Source organism: Homo sapiens, chromosome 1 (genome assembly GCF_000001405.40).
Source record: "Homo sapiens chromosome 1, GRCh38.p14 Primary Assembly".
NCBI lineage: Eukaryota > Metazoa > Chordata > Mammalia > Primates > Hominidae > Homo > Homo sapiens.
This window is the reverse complement of record NC_000001.11, coordinates 150,655,710-150,675,242: the sequence shown is the minus strand read 5'-3', so window position 1 is coordinate 150,675,242 and position 19,533 is coordinate 150,655,710. Positions and strand designations below refer to the sequence as shown.

Sequence of the window (19,533 nt, the reverse complement as noted above, 5' to 3'; positions counted from 1 at the left end):
CTCTTCTAAGGTTTGAACGTAACATAATTGCTTGTGTTTCTAAGTCCGTTTTAAATCATTGGAAGCCAGGCCAGGTGGCTCACATCTGTAATCCTAGCTACTTGGGAGGCTGAAGTGGGAGGATCACTCGAGGCCAGGTCTTCAACACCAGCCTGGGCAACATAGCCAGACCCTATTGCTACAAATTTTTTTTTTTAATTAGCCAGACGTGGTGGTACACACCTGTAGTCCTAACCACAAGGGAGGATAACTCAAGCCCAGGAGTTTGAGGCTGCAGTGAGCCATGATTGTGCCACTGTACTCTAGCCTGTATGACAGAGTGAAACCCTGTTTCTCTCTTTTTTTTCCTTTGAGACAGGGTCTCACTCTCTTGCCCAGGCTAGAGTGCAGTGGCATGATCATGGCTCACTGCCCCCTTGACCTCCTGGGCTTGAGGGATCCTTCCACCTCAGCCTCCTGAGTAAGTGGGACTACAGGCATGTGCCACCACACCTGGCTAATTTTTAAAATTTTTTATATAGATGGAGTCTCAGTATGTTGCCTAAGCTGGTTACGAACTTTGGACTTAAGTGGTCCTCGTGCCTCAGCTATCCTCCCGCCTCAGCTTGGCAAAGTGCTGGGATTATAGGTAGGAGCCACCATACCAGGCCAAGACCTCATCTCTTTAAAAAAAAGAAAAAGGCCGAGTGCGGTGGTTCACGCCTGTAATACCAGCACTTTGGGAGGCCAAGGCAGGTAGATCACCTGAGGTCAGGAGTTCGAAACTACCCTGGCCAACATGGTGAAACCCTGTCTGTACTCAAAATACAAAAAAATTAGCTAGGCCTAGTGACATATGCCTGTAATCCCAGCTACTCGGGAGGCCGAGGCAGGAGAATCGCTTGAGCCCAGGAGGCGGAGGTTGCAATGAGCCAAGATCATGCCACTGCACTCCAGCCTGGGTGACAGAGAAAGACTCCATCTCAAAAAAAAAAAAAAAATTCTCCCACTCTGTAGGTTACCTGTTCACTCTAATGATAGTTTATTTTGCTCTTATTAACAAACATATGAAAACTTCTATATTCAAAAGAGTACTGCCTCTTTTGAAGTTGTCCCTTAAGATGGCTAAATACTTATTGTAATGATACTATAATTGGTTGTTTTGGGGATGGATTTTAATTTCTAAAATTTCCATAAGTCACTCAGATTCAAGCTAAATATAAGTGGATGAATAAATTGATAAATATTTTATTGTTTAAAAAAATCACGTGAGTTGTGGGGAGATAGACTTAGAGCCTGGACATGTTTTCCATTTTTTTTCTTTTTTTTTTTTTTTTGGAGATGGGAGTCTCACTTTGTCACCCAGGTTGGAGTACAGTGGTACAATCTCGGCTCACTGCAACCTCCACCTCCCGGGTTCAAGCAATTCTCCTGCCTCAGCCTCCCAAGTAGCTGGGACCCACAGACGCACCCGGCCAGTTTTTTTTTTGTACTTTTGGTAGAGACGGGGTTTCACTGTGTTGCCCAGGCTGGTCCTGAACTCCCGAGCTCAGGCAGTACTCCCACCTTGGCCTCCCAAAGTACTAGGATTACTGGCGTGAGCCACTGAGCCTGGCCTGTTTTCAAATTTTTGCTCCCCCTTCTCAACTTTCTCTTTTCTTCTGTTTTCTTTTGTTTTTTGTTTTGTTTTGTTTTTTTGAGACGGAGTCTTGCACTGTCACCCGGGCTGGAGTGCAGTGGTGCGATCTCAGCTCACTGCAACCTCCGCCTCCTGATTCACATGATTCTCCTGCCTCAGCCTCCCAAGTAGCTGGGATTACAGGTGCCCACCACCACGCCTGCCCAGCTAATTTTTTGTGTTTTTAGTAGAGACAGGGTTTCACTATGTTGGCCACCCTGGTCTCGAACTCCTAACCTTGTGATCCGCCCGCCTCGGCTTCCCAAAGTGCTGGGATTACAGGCATGAGCCACCGCGCCTGGCTTTTCTTCCGTTTTCTTTGGACAATGTGTAGCAATTAAAATTCCTCTTTCCGGCCAGGTCACTCCAGCCTAGGTGACAGAGGGAGACTATGTCTAAAAAATAAAAAAAATAAAAATTTTTAGGGTAAAACAACTAATGATATTTTTACTGACCAGAATGAGATTTAAAGCTTATATGGGAATTCAAAGATGACCAGTTGCTTTCCTTTATTTTGCATTTCCCTTTCACTGACAACGCATTAGCATGTTGTTTTTATTTGCTAAACTTTTGATAAGGAAAAAAAAAACAGAAGCCCTGCAAAAACTAATAAACTGATCATTGTAACTAGCTTTGCATCTTTCTACCCACCTTTTAAAATAAACCTGAAAGGATTCAATCTTCATTTCATTCATTGAGAAATCCTGTCCATTTGCCTATATTTATAATCCCTTCCTCACGATCAGGCTGAAATTATCTGTTAAACCAGAACAGCATCAGGTCACAGTTCTTCATTCTCCAATAGGATTAAACAGAGTGGGCTTTTAATGCTTGATCTATTTTATAAAATCTCTTGGCCAGGTGCAGTGGCTCACACCTGTAATCCCAGCACTTTGGGAGGCTGAGGTGGGTGGATCACCTGAGGTCAGGAGTTCGAGACCAGCCTGGCCAACATGATGAAGTCCCGTCTCTACTAAAAATACAAAAATTAACTGAATGTGGTGGCAGGCCCCTGTAATCCCAGCTACTCGGGAGGCTGAGGCAGGAGAATCGCTTGAACCTGGGAGGCAGAGGTTGCAGTGAGCCATGATTGTGCCACTGCACTCCAGCCTGGGCGATAGATTGAGACTCCGTCTCAAATACATACATACATACATAAAATGTCTTTATGAGCTGTGTGGATGTAGAAATAGGAATTGGAGTTTCGATGAATCACATTAATTTGTAAAAGAGGAATTTACATCAAATCCTGAATACCACTCTTTTAATAGAGTGATTCAAGGACAAACAGTACACTAAATTTTCTTAGAGTAATTTTTTAGGAGGAAAAAAATAATAAAATTAGTTTTGCTTGTAGAATTTTTGATAACCCCTGAAGATCATTATACTTTCCTTGGGCTTTGGAATTGGGCAGATATAAAAGGGTTCAAAGCAACATGATAACATTTCTTCTCTCATGGAAGGTGAAGCAATTTTAATGTTAAATCTTCAGACTTGGGGAGATGGAGGGGTTCTTTTTTTCTGAAAATTTTCCTTTAAAAAGTGATATTTTCTCACTGTAGATAATTTGGAAAGGTTAAAAAGCCATGTTTTAATGTAGACATTATTTTATATCATTGTAATAATCCTGGATACTCAATTATATATCTGGCTATTTTTCATTCAACTTTATCACAAGTATTTTCTAATGTTATTTTAAAAACTCCTTATGAGCATATTTTTTAATGATGCTTTAAGTTGTTTTGTTTTCTTTCCTCTTTTTTTTTTTTTTTTTTTTTTGAGACGGAGTTTTGCTCTCGTTGTCCAGGTTGGAGTGCAGTGGTGCGATCTCGGCTCACTGCAACCTCCGCCTCCCAGGTTCAAGCGATTCTCCTTGTCTCAGCCTCCCGAATAGCTGGGATTACAGGCATGCGGCACCACACCCGGCTAATTTTGTATTTTTAGTAGAGACAGTGTTTCACCATGTTGGCCAGGCTGGTCTCAAACTCTGACCTTAGGTGATCCGCCCGCCTTGGCCTCCCAAAGTGCTGGGATTACAGGCGTGAGCCACCGCGCCCGGCCCTTCTTTCCTCTTTTTTTGCCAAGCAGGCAACTTTTAAGATCTTTAACCTTCAGAGTTGTTTTAAGGTGTGTCTTCAAGGAAGTTTGAATAAGGAAGGGCACTTTGAATACTTGACTAAGTGGAAATTCAGCATAAAGTGTTGACTGTCTGAATTTATTGAATTCCCATTGTGCAATCTTTAAAGTTTAAATATGTGTAATATTTGACCCAGAATTTTCTTCTAGATATTCAACAGAAATACACACACAAATGAATACGTCTTTACTTTTTTTTTTTTTTCTTGAGATGGAGTCTTACTCTGCCGCCCAGGCTGGAGTGCAGTGGCACGAACTCACCTCCCTGCAGCCTCTGCCTCCTGGATTCATAGGATTCTCCTGCCTCACCCTCCTGAGTAGCTGGGATTACAGGCACGGGCCACCATGCCCGGCTAATTTTTTTGTATTTTTAGTGGAGACTGGGTTTCACCATGTTGGCCAGGCTGGTCTCAAACTCCTGACCTCAGGTGATCCACCCACCATGGCCTCCCAAAGTGCTGGGATTACAGGCTTGAGCCACCACACCCAGCCAACATTTTTTAATAATAACAAAATACTGTAAGCAACCTAAATGCACATCAGTAAGGGGCTTGGATAGATAAAATTATAATGCATGTAAAATGCAATACTATGCAGTCATTACAAGGGATGAAGAAGTATATTTACTGATGTGGAATGATACCCAGAATAATGGGTTAATGAAAAAAGTTACCACTCAGTGTAATGCCATTTCTAGAAATAATATTAATAAGTGTAAACATAGAATATGTATATAAAAATCTAGAAAAGTACCCATTAAACTGTTGGTAGTGATCCTCTAGAGGGGATAAGATTCTAGAACACTTTCACTTTCTAAAGTCTACATTTCTTTTTATTTATTTATTTATTTTTTGAGACAGAGTCTTGCTCTGTAGCCCAGGCTGGAGTGCAGTGGCACAATCTCGGCTCACTGCAAGCTCCGCCTCCTGGGTTCATGCCATTCTCCTGCCTCAGCCTCCCAAGTAGCTGGGACTACAGGCACCCGCCACCACGCCCGGCTAATTTTTTGTATTTTTAGTAGAGACGGGGTTTCACCGTGTTAGCCAGGATGGTCTCGATCTCCTGACCTCATGATCCACTCGCCTCAGCCTCCCAAAGTGCTGGGATTACAGGCGTGAGCCACCACACCCAGCCTAAAGTATACATTTCTATAATGGGATTTTTCTTTCTTTTTTACAATTTTTTTTGAGATGGAGTTTCAATCTTGTCGCCCAGGCTGGAGTGCAGTGGTGAGATCTCAGCTCACTGCAACCTCCACCTCTGGGGTTCAAGCAATTCTTCTGCCTCAGCTTCCTGAGTGGCTGGGATTACAGGCGTCTACCACCACACCTGGCCAATTTTTATATTTTTTAGTAGAAACGGGGTTTCACCATGTTGGCCAGGCTGGTCTTGAACTGCTGACCTCAGGCTATCCACCCACGTCAGCCTCCCAAAATGCTGGGATTACAGTCCTGAGCGACCACGCCGGGCCTGCAGTTTTTTTTTTTGAGACGGAGTTTTGCTCTTGTTGCCCAGGATGGAGTGCAGTGGTGTGATCTCAGCTAACTGCAACCTCCACCTCCCAGGTTCAAGTGATTATCCTGCCTCAGCCTCCTGAGTAGCTGGGATTACAGGCACGTGCCACCACACCCAGCTAATTTTTGTATTTTTAGTAGAGACAGGGTTTCATCATGTTGGCCAGGCTGGTCTCGAACTCCTAACCTCAGGTGATCCACCCGCCTTGACCTCCCAAAGTGCAGGGATTACAGGTGTGAGCCACCGCGCCCGGCCTACAGATGTATATTAAAGTCCACTATCTGAATATCTTATTCTGCAAATTCTCTGAGATTCTCCATTAGCCATGAGACAATGTGCAATTCCATCTGTGTTGGGTAGGTCCTAAAATTTTCTTTAGATAGCCTTTGGTAATGAGATTTAATGATCAAATGGTGAACTTTAGTATGTACGTGCTAGGTCTTCCTGCTCAGACATACCAAAGCATTGGCCATTTAATATAGAATCTTTATTATGAATGGCTGGAGAATTCACTAAGTTAGATAGATACACTAAGAGGAAAATGACCTTTAAATATAAATAATTGTATTTTCCCTTACCTCCAGGCTATTCTGCACCTAAATTTGTTTCAATCTGTTCTAAATATTACTATAGATGACAATATTATAATCTTTATTGGTCATATGTACCCACAGTACAGGGGAACATTTACTATCATGTTCTCTCTTTTCTCAGTTATTTTCTTTTTCTAAATCCAGTCTCTTTCTTGTAGTTATACAGGTGTTTGTTTTATAATTATTTTCTTAAAACTCTACATATATGTTTTTATACTTTTGTCTATTATTGCATATTCTTAATAAAAAAGTTAAAAACTCGTTTGGAAAGTTTTGTATGTTTTGAGATGCTACAATAGGAAAGTGTGACATTCAAAAATGTAGTTTCTTTATCCTGATCTTCATCATTTCTTTATACTGCTTCTCATTTATAGTTTTGTTGACAATCTGATGTCACTGTCACTGAAACAGAAGTTACATGGTCAGGAGGAAATGAGACAACAAAAGAAAACTTTCTTCCAGTTGCTTTAATATTGGCTAAAATGTTTGCACACCTGTTAAGATTTATTACGAGAATAAATAATGCCTACATAATTACGTGTTCTGAAGGAAGTTATAGTTTAACTTTAATTAGGTAGCTAAACTATAAAAAAAAACAAGTGTTAACCTAAAAAAAAAGCCTACCCCTTCCTTAAAGAGGAGTCACAAATATGAGTTGGGGCCAGGCACAGTGGCTCACACCTGTAATTTTAGTACTTCAGGAGGCTGAGGTGGGCATACCACTTGAGCTGAGGAGTTCGAGACCAGCCTGGGCAACATGGCAAAACCCCATCTCTACTAAAAATACAAATATTAGCTGGGTGTGGTGGCACGCGCCTGTAGTCCCAACTACTTGGGAGGCTGAGGTGAGAGGATTGCTTGAACCAGGGAGGTGGAGGTTGCAGTGAGATGAGATCATGCCACTGCACCCCAGCCTGGGCGACAGAGCGATACCCTGTGTCCAAACAAAAACAAAACCAAAAAAACAAATATGACTTGGAGTAGCCATGAGGCAGGCAGGGGAGGGAACTAATCCCAACCTTGAGTCAAAGATCAGACCCTCAGGAAATTTGGAGATGTCTAAGGAATATTTTATGGCTCAAGCTGAACTTTTGCCAGGTTAACATTTACTTTTAAGCATAAATTTATGCTTTCAAAAATATTTTTGCGGCATAAGGGATATTCTCTCCTTAAGGAATTTGTAGTCTGGTCAGGAGAAATAGTTGTTTGCAATATGATATAATAGAAGTTATGAGAGAAGTATGTATGGGCACACCCAGGTGCAGAACCTAATCCAGAGGGTGGAGTGGAGAAGTAAACAATGTTAGAGAAGGTTATGTGGAAATGTGACCCCTGTACTTAACGCTTAACTACAAAGAGGAGTTTTGGAAGGAAGAATATTGGTTCTTTTCAACAGAGCAGTGTGTGCAAAGGCCAATAGGGGAAAGAGGCCAAAGAAAAGACTAGTGGGCCGGGCGTGGTGGCTCACTCCTGTAATCCCAGCACTTTGGGAGGCCGAGGCAGGCGGGTCACGAGGTCAGGAGATCAAGACCATCCTAGCTAACACGGTGAAACCCCATCTCTACCAAAAATATAAAAAAATTTAGCTGGGTGTGGTGGCGGGCGCCTGTAGTCCCAGCTACTCGGAGGCTGAGGCAGGAGAATGGCGTGAACCCGGCAGGTGGAGCTTACAGTCAGCCGAGATTGCGCCACTGCACTCCAGCCTGGGTGACAGAGAGAGACTCCGTCTCAAAAAAAAAAAAAAAAGAAAGAAAAAAAAAGAAAAGACTAGTAAATAGCCACTTTTGTTTTGTTTTGTTTTGTTTTTACAGACAAGGTCTCGCTGTGTTCCCAAAGGCTGGCCAACTCTTGGCCTCAAGCGATCCTCCTGCATTAGCCATTTGGATTCCATCCTGAAGGCTGAGAGGAATGTTTGAAAGATTTTTAAGCATGAGGGGAGGGAGTTATATCATTACACTTGATGTTAAAGATTGTCCTGGCTATAGCAGGACAAATAGAATTAGAGGTCCTCTAGCCCTGGCAGTATGGTGGTCAGATATTAAGTCTTGAATAAGCTTAATTTTTAATGTATTATTGAGTCTTGGAAAGTAGAAATAATCTTCAAGGGGCCCCCAAACACCAAAATTAAAATCCAAGAGGTGAGCAATAAAGATAACATGAAGATCAAATTACCCTGGGGCAAATTACCAAATCAGTCTTGAGATTCAGGAGTTGGTTGGTCAGGAATAAACTTGATGGTTGAGGTAAAGTGGGGAAACTAGGCTTAAATGTGCTCCCAGTTGTGTGGCACTCCCACAATCCCTCTGTACTTGGCTCTCGGCAGAAACAGATCTTTCCCTCTGAAGGAAGATGTCCTCAATTTAGGCCTCCAGAATCTCGTAAATTCACAAAACGTTAAACGTGAACCTCTTAATCAAAGATCATCAAACATACAAACAAGGAAGAAGTGACAAATAAAGTCCTCAGATATTGTCAGGTATCAAGGACCTCATATATTGTCCCATATTAAAATAATCAGACTAAAAATATGACATTTTTAAAGAAATAAAATAATCACAAAATAAACAAAAAATCACAAATCACCAGACAAATGTGAAAAATAACTAAATAAAACTTCTACTAATGAAAAATTGTTGAAATCAAAATCTCAGGGTTAGTTTGAATTAGTAAATAGGAAGCCGGATATTTTTTAAAAACTCTCCAAAGGCCAGGCTGGTGGCTCATGCTTGTAATTCCAGCACTTTGGGAGGCTGAGGCAGGCAGATCACCTGAGGTCAGGAGTTCAAGACCAGCCTGGCCAACATGATAAAACCCCATCTCCACAAAAAAATTAGCCAGGCGTGGTGAGGTGCACCTGTAATCCCAGCTACTTGGGAGGCTGAGGCAGGAGAATTGCTTGAACCTGGGAGACGGAGGTTGCAGTGAGCCGAGATTGTGCCATTGCACTCCAGCCTGGGTGACAGGTGAGACTCCATCTCAGAAACAAACAAACAAACAAAAACTCTCCAGAAAGCAATACAGAGAACAAGCAAATGGAAAATATAAAAGGTTAAAAGACGGGGTTAAAATAAAGACTGAAGTCCTAGAAGGAAAGAAAAAAGAAAATAAAGGAGAGCCAAAGTGCTTAGAGACCTAAGAGCTGAGAATTTTTGAAGCTAAGAAATGAAACCACAGTTATGGGAAGCACAACATATACCAAACAGAATAAATAAATTCATGCACAGTCATGTTATAGTAAAACTGCAAAACACCAAAAGAGAAGATCTTAAAGGACCAAAGAAAAGATACACCACCTACAAAAAAACCACAATCAATAAGAAAGATAGATTTCTCACTGCTATATTAGAAGCTGGAAGAAGAGGGCATACTATCTTCAATGTGATAACCTGGAATGATCAACCTGGAATTTTATGTCCAGAGAAACTATCTTTCAAGGATGATGGTGAAATACAAAGACATTTCAGATAAGCAAAATAGAAACTGCCTCCAACAGACTTTCACTTAAGGAAATTCTACTTTAGGAAGAAGAAAAATGGTGCCAGAAAGGAAGTCTGAGATACAGGAAGGAACGGTGAGCAAAGAAATTCGTAAGCACCTGTGTAAATCTAAACAAGTGCTACCTGTATAAAATAATAATGATGATGATGATATCTAATTTATGAGGCTAAAAAAAAATACTGGACAACTAAAAGAGTGGTTAAAATATTAATATTTAAAATTTAGGTTTTATGTTAATTTTAAATTAATGTATCATGCATGTTAAAATTTCAAGGATAACTTCTAAAAGTACATAACTTCCAAGCCAATAAAGAGGAAAATTGAATTAAAAAATTTTTTAAATAGTTATTATAGCTAGGTGCAGTGTCTCATGCCTGTAGTCTGAGCTACTTGGGAGGCTGAGGCAGGACAATTGTTTGAGCCCTGGAGTTCAAGTCTACAGTGAGCTATGATGGCCCCACTGCATTTCAGCCTGGATAATGGAGCAAGACCCCGCCTGTCTCTTAAAAAAAAAAAGTAACCCCAAAATATGCACAACTATGATCTATCAGTAAAACACCACCAAAAAAACAACCACTTAAAAATTTCTCTATTTAGCTTCGTGACCTCTGTTATGCTGTATAACCTCTGTAAGCCTTAGTTTTCTCATCTTTAATGTGTGGGTAGTAGTAGTACTTCCTTTATAGGGTTGTTGTGAAGATATAATCAGATAATGCATGTAAAAAGCTTAGCACAAATCTAGTACATAATAAGTATTAGCACATATCTAGTATATAATAAGTATTCAATAGACATTAGTAATTAAACGTTACTGCTGTTAGACAATACCAGTGGCTCTCTTATACGTATATTCCCTATACAAAGGGAAGGGGAGCTAACATTTTAAGTGCCTGCTATATGCCAGGCACTATACTAAATGCTTTCTTATATATTGTATCTCATGTAACCCTCATAACAATCTTATGAAAATATATATTGGTGTCTGCATTTTATAGATGAGGACAATGTACTTCAGAAAGTTTAAGTAACATAACCAAGGCACTTAATGACAGTGGGTTTCTATTATACCTCCCATCAAAAGAACTTCAAATTGGCTGGGCACGGTGGCTCACTCCTGTATTCCCAGCACTTTGGGAGACTGAGGCTGGTGGATGACGAGGTCAGGAGTTTGAGACCAGCTTGACCAACATAGTGAAATCCCGTCTCTACTAAAAATACAAAAATTAGCTGGGTGTGGCAGTGCACACCTGTAATCCCAGCTACTCAGGAGGCTGAGGCAGGAGAATCGCTTGAACCTGGGAGGCGGAGGTTGCAGTGAGCCAAGATCACGTCACTGCACTCCAGCCTGGGCGACAGAGCAAGCCTCCATCTCAAAAAAAAGAAAAAAGAACTTCAAATTAATACATATCTAGGAGGATTAAAAGCTCAAATGCTTTTTACTTTTTTCTGACTTATTTTACCCCACTCTGAAATTTTGTGTCATGGAAACAGACTTCAAAAAAGCCAAAATTCTCCTCAAAAATTAAAATTTTGCATGTCAAACCAGGTGCAGTCACTCATGTCTGTAATCCCAACACTTTCGGAGGCCAAGGTGGGAGGATAGCTTGAGGCCAGGAGTTCGAGACCAGCGTAGGCAACATAGCAAGACCTTGTCTCTACAAAAAAATTTTTTTTAAAAACAGCCAGGCATGGTGGCACATACCTGTAGTCCCAGCTACTCAGGAGGCTGAGGTGGAAGGATTGCTTGAGCCCAGGAGGTCAAGGCTGCAGTGAGCCATGATCATGCCACTGCATTTCAGCCTGGGGGAAAAAGCGAGACCCTGTCTCAAAAAAAAAAATTGCACATCATTTATTGACTAACAGCAAACCATGGAAATTCACTAAAGATCTTGAAGTCAGACAGAAAATCATATTTGGGGGTGTTTAAGAGGATTAAAGAAACATCCTCTTACTCTATACTTTGAGTTCATGTAGTATGATGTGAAACGAATCACAACAAAGCGGCCTGTTCTTAGGGTGCCTGCTGGAAGTCAGTATTCCTCTCAAAACATTCTTTCTCTTCTCTTTTCTCCTTTCCTAGGGGTACACATCTTTCTGGAATGACTGCATATCATCAGGCCTGCGAGGGGGCATCCTGATAGAGCTGGCCATGCGGGGTCGAATCTATCTGGAACCCCCGACCATGCGTAAGAAGCGACTACTAGACAGAAAGGTACTGAATCCTCTGTGAACGTCCATGGCTTATGGAAAGGCAAATACCAACAGTACATTTGGGAAGAATAGAAAGATTTGAGTAGTAAGATAAAATAAATATCACTGACTCAGCAGTTCCATTGTCTAAACAGGTTAATTACCCTATTGCAAGAGGGAGAAATCAAAGTATCCATAGTCCAAAGAGTTATAGGAAGCTCCTGGTTTTGTCTTCCTTTTTTATGCAGAAAAATCATACTCAGGATGCTGTTGATTAAATTCCTCCTATATCTATAGCTATAACATTATGAAATAGCCGGGCACAGTGGCTCACGCTTGTAATCCCAGCACTTTGAGAGGCCGAGGCGGGCGGATCATGAGGTCAGGCGATTGAGACCATCCTGGCTAACACGGTGAAATCCCATCTCTACGAGAAATATTTAAAAAAAAAATTAGCGGGGCATTGTGGCGGGCGCCTGTAGTCACAGCTACTCGGGAGGCTGAAGCAGGAGAATGGCGTGAACCCGGAAGGTGGAGCTTGCAGTGAGCCAAGATCCCGCCACTGCACTCCAGCCTGGGGGACAGTGCAAGACTCCGTCTCTAAAAAAAAAAAATTACGAAATAGAGTATGATGTAGGGAGAGGGACTCATATGGGTCAGGTCAGTCATTGATTAACCCTGGTTATTCTCCAATAATATTCTGTTTCCTTCCATTTACTGCAAGTCCTTTCCAACCATACTCCTGTATCCATTTTCTTACTGAATTTTTCCACTCACAACTTCTTTATCATCCTAAGCACTCCACTTAAACTACATTCTTAGGTATCACCAGCTTCTTTTCAGTCTTTGATTTATTTTTCTCTTTTAACCTATATGTGTCATTTGACACTTTTTATCACTTTGAAACTTTCTTCATTATTGGCCTTTGTTATTATCTTATTCTCTTGCTTCTCTGACTATACACTGTTTCCTTACTTCTCCATTTCTTAACATCCAAGTCTCAGTTTGTATCACTTGAGTGATCTTCTGTCCTTTCAGAGATATCATTTACCTTTATAGCTTCGTCTGTCACCTTCATGAGATTAATTTTCAAATTTCTAGGCAGGTCTTGTTTTTCCACCTCCAGAAACATATTTAACTATTGGCTAGAAATTTCAACTTGGCTATCCCATATCATTTAAAACCAAACTTAACAAAAATGAAAGAAAACCAAATTATCAACCTTTCCCCAAAACTGACTTCCTTTTCTGACTTTCCTGCCTTTGTTTATTTATTTATTTATTTATTTAAATTTTTATTTTTTTAATAGAGAAAAGATTTTGCCATTTTGCCCAGGCTGGTCTCAAACTCCTGAGCTCAGGTGATCCACCCGCCTCAGCCTCCCAAAGTGCTAAGATTACAGGCATGAGCCACTGAGCCCAGCTGTTTCCTACCTTTATTAATGGTTTCAAAAGTTGGTTTCCAGACTCAAAATGAGTTGTTATTGAAACTTTTCTCCATTATCATTCATATCCAGTTTGTCACTAGGGCCCACTTCAAATGTTATTTTTGTCTTTGCACTATCACTCCATACTATATTTTAAACTTCTTGAGGACAGAGACAGTATATTATGCTTCCTTACATTCTTGCAATTTTTAACCAGTAACATATACATGATATATTGAAAGATTTTAACTTGAATGAAGTGAAGGAATCAGGGTTCCTTCTTTCTCCTTTTCTCAAAGGTACTGCTAAAGTCAGACAGCCCAACAGGTGATGTTTTACTGGATGAAACTCTGAAACACATCAAAGCAACTGAACCCACAGAAACTGTCCAAACATGGATAGAGCTACTCACTGGTAAGATGACTTAAAATAATATATGAATTTCACACTTTGTTATCTTTATCCTACCCTGAAATTTAGTAAAAGATGTACCGAAATTCATCGTGCTGGATGAGATAGATGTGGTTCACTATTTAATTCTAATGAGGGACAGAAAAAGCATGGTTAATTGATACCTAAAGTTTTCCAAAGCTTCACCTTATCTTCTGCCACCCCACCCCAAAAGCCCTTAAATAGTATTCTTCACAAGAAACTTTTAAAACATCTTTATTGAGAGGACAATGAGAATATTGGCATTGATGCAGTCTATTATTCTTATTAGAATTTCCCAGTTTTAATTTGCCAAATAATATTTTATTGCATGGCCATACCACATTTGTTTATCCAGTCATCAGTTGATGAATCTTTGAGTTATTTCCACATTTTGGGTATTGTGAATAATGCTGCTGTGAACACGCACGGACAAGTTTTTGTTTGAACATGTTTTCATTTCTTGTGGGTATGTAGCTAGGAGTAGATAACTGGGTCATATGTAAATCAACGAGTAACATTCTTACTGTGGTAAAATATACATAACATTTATTATTATTATTATTATTTCGAGATGGAGTCTTGCTCTGTCGTCCAGGCTGGAGTACAGTGATGCAATCTCAGCTCACTGCAACCTCTGCCTCCCGGGTTCAAGCAATTCTCCTGCCTCAGCCTCCCAAGTAGCTGGGATTACAGGCACGTGCCACCACGCCTGGCTAATTTTTGTATTCTTAGTAGAGACAGGGTTTCACCATATTGGCCAGGCTTGTCTCGAACTCTTGACTTCGTGATCTGCCCGCCTTGGCCTCCCAAAGTGCTGGGATTACAGGCGTGAGCCACCGCGCCCAGCCAACATTTATTATTATTTTAGCCATTCTTAAGTGTACAATTCTGTGAAATTAAATATATTTGCAATATTTTGTAACCGTCACCTCTATCTATACTATACCCAAAGCTTCCTCATCATTACCCATTAAAACTCTGTACCTATTAAATGATAACTTCCTCTTTCTCTCTCCCCCCAGTCCCTGGCAACCTCTATTCTACTTTCTTTTTCTATGAATTTGCTTACTCTAGGTACCTCATATAAGTAGAATCATACAATATCTGTCATTACTTTCCCTAGCTTATTCACCAAGCATAATGTTTTCAAGGTCCATTCATGTCACAGCATATATCAAAATTTCATTCCTGTTTATGGCTGAGTGATATTCCGTTGTATGTATATAACACTTTCGTTTAACCATTCATCTGTTGATGGACACTTGCCTTGTTTCCACCTTTTGGCTATTGTGAATAATGCTGCTGTGAACATTGATACACAAATATCTGTTCAAGTTCCTGTTTTTAATTCTTTTGGATATATACCTAGGAATAGAATTGCTGGGTCATATAGCAGTTTTATGTTTAACCTTTTGAGAAATCACCAAACATTTCCACAGAGACTGCACCATTTTATATTCCCACCAGTATGCACCAGGGTTCCAATTTGTCCACATGCTGATCACCACTTGTTCTTCTCTTTCTTTTCTTTTTTTTAATTATAGACATCCGAGTAGGCCTAAAATGTTATCTCATTGTGGTTTTGATTTTTATTTTCAAATGAAAATAGTTTTCATGTCATTCCTAATGACTAAAAATATTGAGCATATTTTTATGTGCTTACTGACCATTTATATATCTTCTTTGGAGAAATATAAAATACTTTTCCCATTTTTAAGTTTGATTGTTTTGTTGTTGTTGAGGTTTTTTTGTATTTATTTATGAGATGCGGTCTCACTCTGTCACCCAGGATGGAGTGCCGTGGTGCAATCTCGGCTCACTGCAACCTCTATCTCCCGGGCTCAAGGATCCTCCCACCTCAGCCTCCCAAGTAACTGGGACTATGGGTGCGCACCATCACACCTGGCTAATTTTTTGTGTTTTTGGTGGAGATGGGGTTTTGCTATGTCACCCAGGCTGGTCTCTGAACTCCTGAGCTCAGACAGTCTACCCATCTTGGTCTCCCAAAATGCTGGGATTACAGGCATGAGCCACTGTGCCTGGCCAGAGGTTCTTTATATATATTCTGGATATTAATCTTGCCGAGACCAGCTCAGTTGTGGAGACCCTAACCCAGTGGCGCTAGAGGAATTAAAGACACACACACACAGAAATATAGTGTGGAGTGGGAAATCAGGGGTCTCACAGCCTTCAGAGCTGAGAGCCTTGAACAGAGATTTACCCACATATTTATTGACAGCAAGCCAATCATAAGGTTTACTAAAAGTATTCCTTATGGGAAATAAAGGGATGGGCCGAAATAAAGGGACGGGCTCTGGCTAGTTATCTGCAGCATGAACATGTCCTTAAGGCACGGATCTCTCATGCTATTGTTTGTGGTTTAAGAACACCTTAAGCAGTTTTCCGCCCTGGGTGGGCCAGGTGTTCCTTGCCCTCATTCCAGTAAACCCACAACCTTCCAGCATGGGCATCAAGGCCATCACAAGCATGTCACAGTGCTGCAGAGATTTTGTTTATGGCCAGTTTTGGGGCCAGTTTATGGCCAGATTTTTGAGGCCTATTCCCAACACGTCCCCCTTCTTTGTTTTACAAAGCAATAAAAGCAAAGGCAGCTTTGTCAAGGTGAGCTACTTCTCACAGAAGTCAGGATCCACACCTGCAGACTATACAGAGACAAACAACACAGATTAATAACACAATTATCATTGAAATCAAAGGGCTTCCAAGTGTTTTTATCCATTTTAATGGGTTACTAGCTGTTAATCTGTCTGCAGCTCCTTCAAGCACTCCAGTTCCTGGCATTAAGGTCAGGTGTGCCTGGGATGCTTTAAATATTTGTTCTTTTAATTTTGCAATATCCAAAGACAAGTTTGTAGAGTGTCCTTTTAGATGGTTTTTTATTCTTTCCCAAATTTGGATCTTATTAAGAGCCATTAATAGTTTCCACAAATCCTTATGTTTAGCTCCTACAGCGGGCCATATCATTTGAGATTGAGGTGCCACTCTACCACCATGTTTCCAGATAATAGGAACTCTTGTCATACTTCTTACCATTTCTACCATCTGACCATTTTGTTCAAACCAGCTGAACATAGTGTGGCCATGACACGCAAACTGAGAGGTGCAATTCAAGCTAAACATCCCCTTATGGGACCAATCAGTAATGATTCCATAAGAATCATTGCGCAGCACCTCTTCCTGTTCTGCAATGCAATCTTCCTAAACAAGTACGTTCATTTTCTCTGGCCAGGTTCAATTTTGTTTACACATAGGTTTCTGAGGGTGGTATGCCTCAACTATAGGAGCAGATTTATTATGGTAAATACTGAGGTCAGAAAGCATGTGTAACTGCATCATAGAGTGATTACATCCAGGCATTATTGCCAGCCAAGATTGATAAATATGCCCAATGAGTATAATTGTTCTCTGTGTCAGCCCTTGTTGAAGGAATACGCACAGCAATGGTGATCACCACTATCATAGCTACCATTAAATTACTCATTGCGACTGGTTGTCCCGATTTCCTCAGGTTTTCTTCCTCCATCTGTGACAGCTTCTTGATCTGCCCTCAGGTGGGTGGCTGTGTTCAACGGGTGTTGCTAATGACAGTTGGGGTCCTCCTCAGCATCAGTCTCGACATGGCTGCAACCGGGGGGTCCTCGGGATCCTCCCGGAATCTCTTCCTCGGCATCTGGCTCATGATAAGGTTTCAGATGTCTTGATGGTATCCAAATCAGCTGTTGATTCGGTCCTGGAGAAACACAAGCATAACCTCTACCCCAAGTTATTATTTTACCTATTTCCCAACTTTTTGCTACCGGATCTCTCCACCAAACCAGTTGTTTTGCTTCTGTCTTTGCAGCTGGTTAGATGCTGTTCAGCTGCTGCTAACATCTGGCCTTTAGGCAGGCTCAAAAAATTTAAAGTTAATGATGCTAGATTCAGTTGTATATGGGGTGTCCTGTAATCCCTGTTTCCCCCATGTTTTGTTTTTGCAACTGCTCTTTTAGGGAGAGATTCATTCTTTCCACTGTGGCTTGTCCTTGAGAATTATATGGGATACCAGTATTGTGTTTAATATTCCATATAGAGAAAAATGTAGCTAGAGCTTGGCTAGTATAGCCTGGGGCATTATCTGTTTTAATAGAAGCTGGAATGCTCATCACCACAAACACTGCAAAAGGTGACGTTTAACACAGGCAGAAGACTCTCCTGATTTGGCATGTAGCCCAGACAAAGTGAGAAAAGGTGTCCACACATACGTGTACATAAGCTAGTCTCCCAAATGAGGGAACATGTGTGACATCCATTTGCCAAAGAGAATTAGGTTCCAGTCCTCAAGGATTAACTCCTCCTGTAAAAGATGAGGAATATACCATTTGACAAGTTGGGCATCGCTAGATAATAGCTTTAGCTTCTTTCCAGGTAATGCTGTATCTGCTTTTGAGACCAGAGGCATTAACATGGGTTAAATTGCGAAAGTGTTTAGCATTAGATATTGCATTAGCAGCTAGGCAATCAGCCATTTGATTCCCTTCAGTTAAATGTCCGGGAAGAGGTTTATGAGCCCTAATGTGAGTGATGTAAAAAGGGTGCATTCTACTCCTAACTGCTGTTTCTAACTGGGTAAATAAAGTCATCAGTTGTTCATCTGTATGAAATCGTAACTGAGCATTTTCAATTAACTGTGTGGAATGAACCACATATGAAGAATCAGAAATCACATAAATAGGCATATTAAAAGCAGTCAGTACCTCAGTTACAGCTACAAGCTCTGCTTTTTGAGGTGAAGTATAGGGCGTCTGGAAAACTTTACCTTTAGAGCCAGAATAAGAAGCTTTACCATTACCAGACCCATCTGTAAAAACATTCTCAGCACCTTCAATTGGTTTAAATTTAGTTATTCTAGGGAGAATCCAATTAGTTAATTTCAAAAATTGAAACAGTTTCATTTTAGGAAAATGATTATCGAGAATACCCACAAAGTTAGCTAAGTGGGTTTGCCAAGTAAGATTATTTATAAAAGCCTGCTGTATTTGTGCCTTCGTGAGAGGGACAATAATTTTTTCAGGATCATATCCTATAGTTTAACAATCCGAGTTCTCCCATTTCCTATCATGGTAGCGATTTGATCCAAATAAGGAGTTAGAGTCTGTGAATTAGTATGTGAAAGAAAAAGCCATTCTACTAAGTCCTGCTCTTGGACAATAACACCAGTAGGTGAATGCTGAGTTGGAAAAATTAGCAAATCTAGAGTCTTCTCTGGATCTATTCTATTTGTTTTAGCTTTATGGACTTGCTTTTCGATTTGCTGCAGCTCTGCCTCAGCTTCTTTTGTTAATTGCCGAGGGCTAGTGAGACTAGGATCTCCTCTAAGGATAGAAAATAGATTGCTCATGGCATAGGTAGGGATGCCTAGAGCAGGTCGTATCCAATTAATGTCCCCTAGTAATTTTTGAAAGTCATTTAATGTTTTCAATTGATCCCTATGTATGGCTACTTCTTGTGGCACAATGGTAGTGTCATTTACTAAGGTCCCCAAGTAGGAGTAAGGTGTAGTAGTCTGAATTTTGTCAGGAGCTGTAATTAAACCAGCACGAGAAATCGAATTTTGCAAGTGATCATAACATTGGAGTAATATTTCTTGAGTGGGGGCAGCACAAATACATCATCCATATAGTGAATAATGTAACACTGTGAAAATTTTTTACGAGTAGGTTCAATTGTTTGCCCTACATAAGTCTGGCAAATTGTTGGACTGTTTAACATGCCTTGTGGCAACACTTTCCAGTGAAAACGCTTAGCAGGCTGCAGGTTGTTTACTGCAGGAATTGTAAATGCAAACCATTCACAGTCTTGCTCAGCTAAGGGGATAATAAAGAAACAGTCTTTTAAATCTATAACTATTAAAGGCGAATTTTTAGAATTGTAGTAGGAGAAGGCCGTCCTGGCTGTAATGCTCCCATAGGTTGTATAACTGAATTGATGGCTCTAAGATCTGTTAACATTCTCCATTTACCTGATTTTTTCTTAATTGCGAAAACTGGAGAATTCCAAGAGGAAAATGTTGGAGCTGTGTCCGTTTT

The 19,533-nt window shown here is 40.6% G+C and overlaps 1 protein-coding gene across 4 annotated transcripts in view; it reads left to right on the top strand.

Annotated features, from left to right (window-relative positions):
* GOLPH3L (golgi phosphoprotein 3 like) overlaps nucleotides 1–19,533 on the top strand; it is a 50,925-nt gene that overhangs the window by 21,912 nt on the left and 9,480 nt on the right. For 3 of the 4 annotated variants that reach the window (NM_018178.6, XM_006711428.3, XM_047424286.1), the window contains exons 3-4: nucleotides 11,480–11,611; nucleotides 13,315–13,429. In NM_018178.6, the coding sequence (NP_060648.2) occupies nucleotides 11,480–11,611; nucleotides 13,315–13,429 (247 nt within the window). The remainder of the gene's footprint in view (nucleotides 1–11,479; nucleotides 11,612–13,314; nucleotides 13,430–19,533) is intronic. The other variant, XM_047424285.1, reaches the window with a different exon arrangement.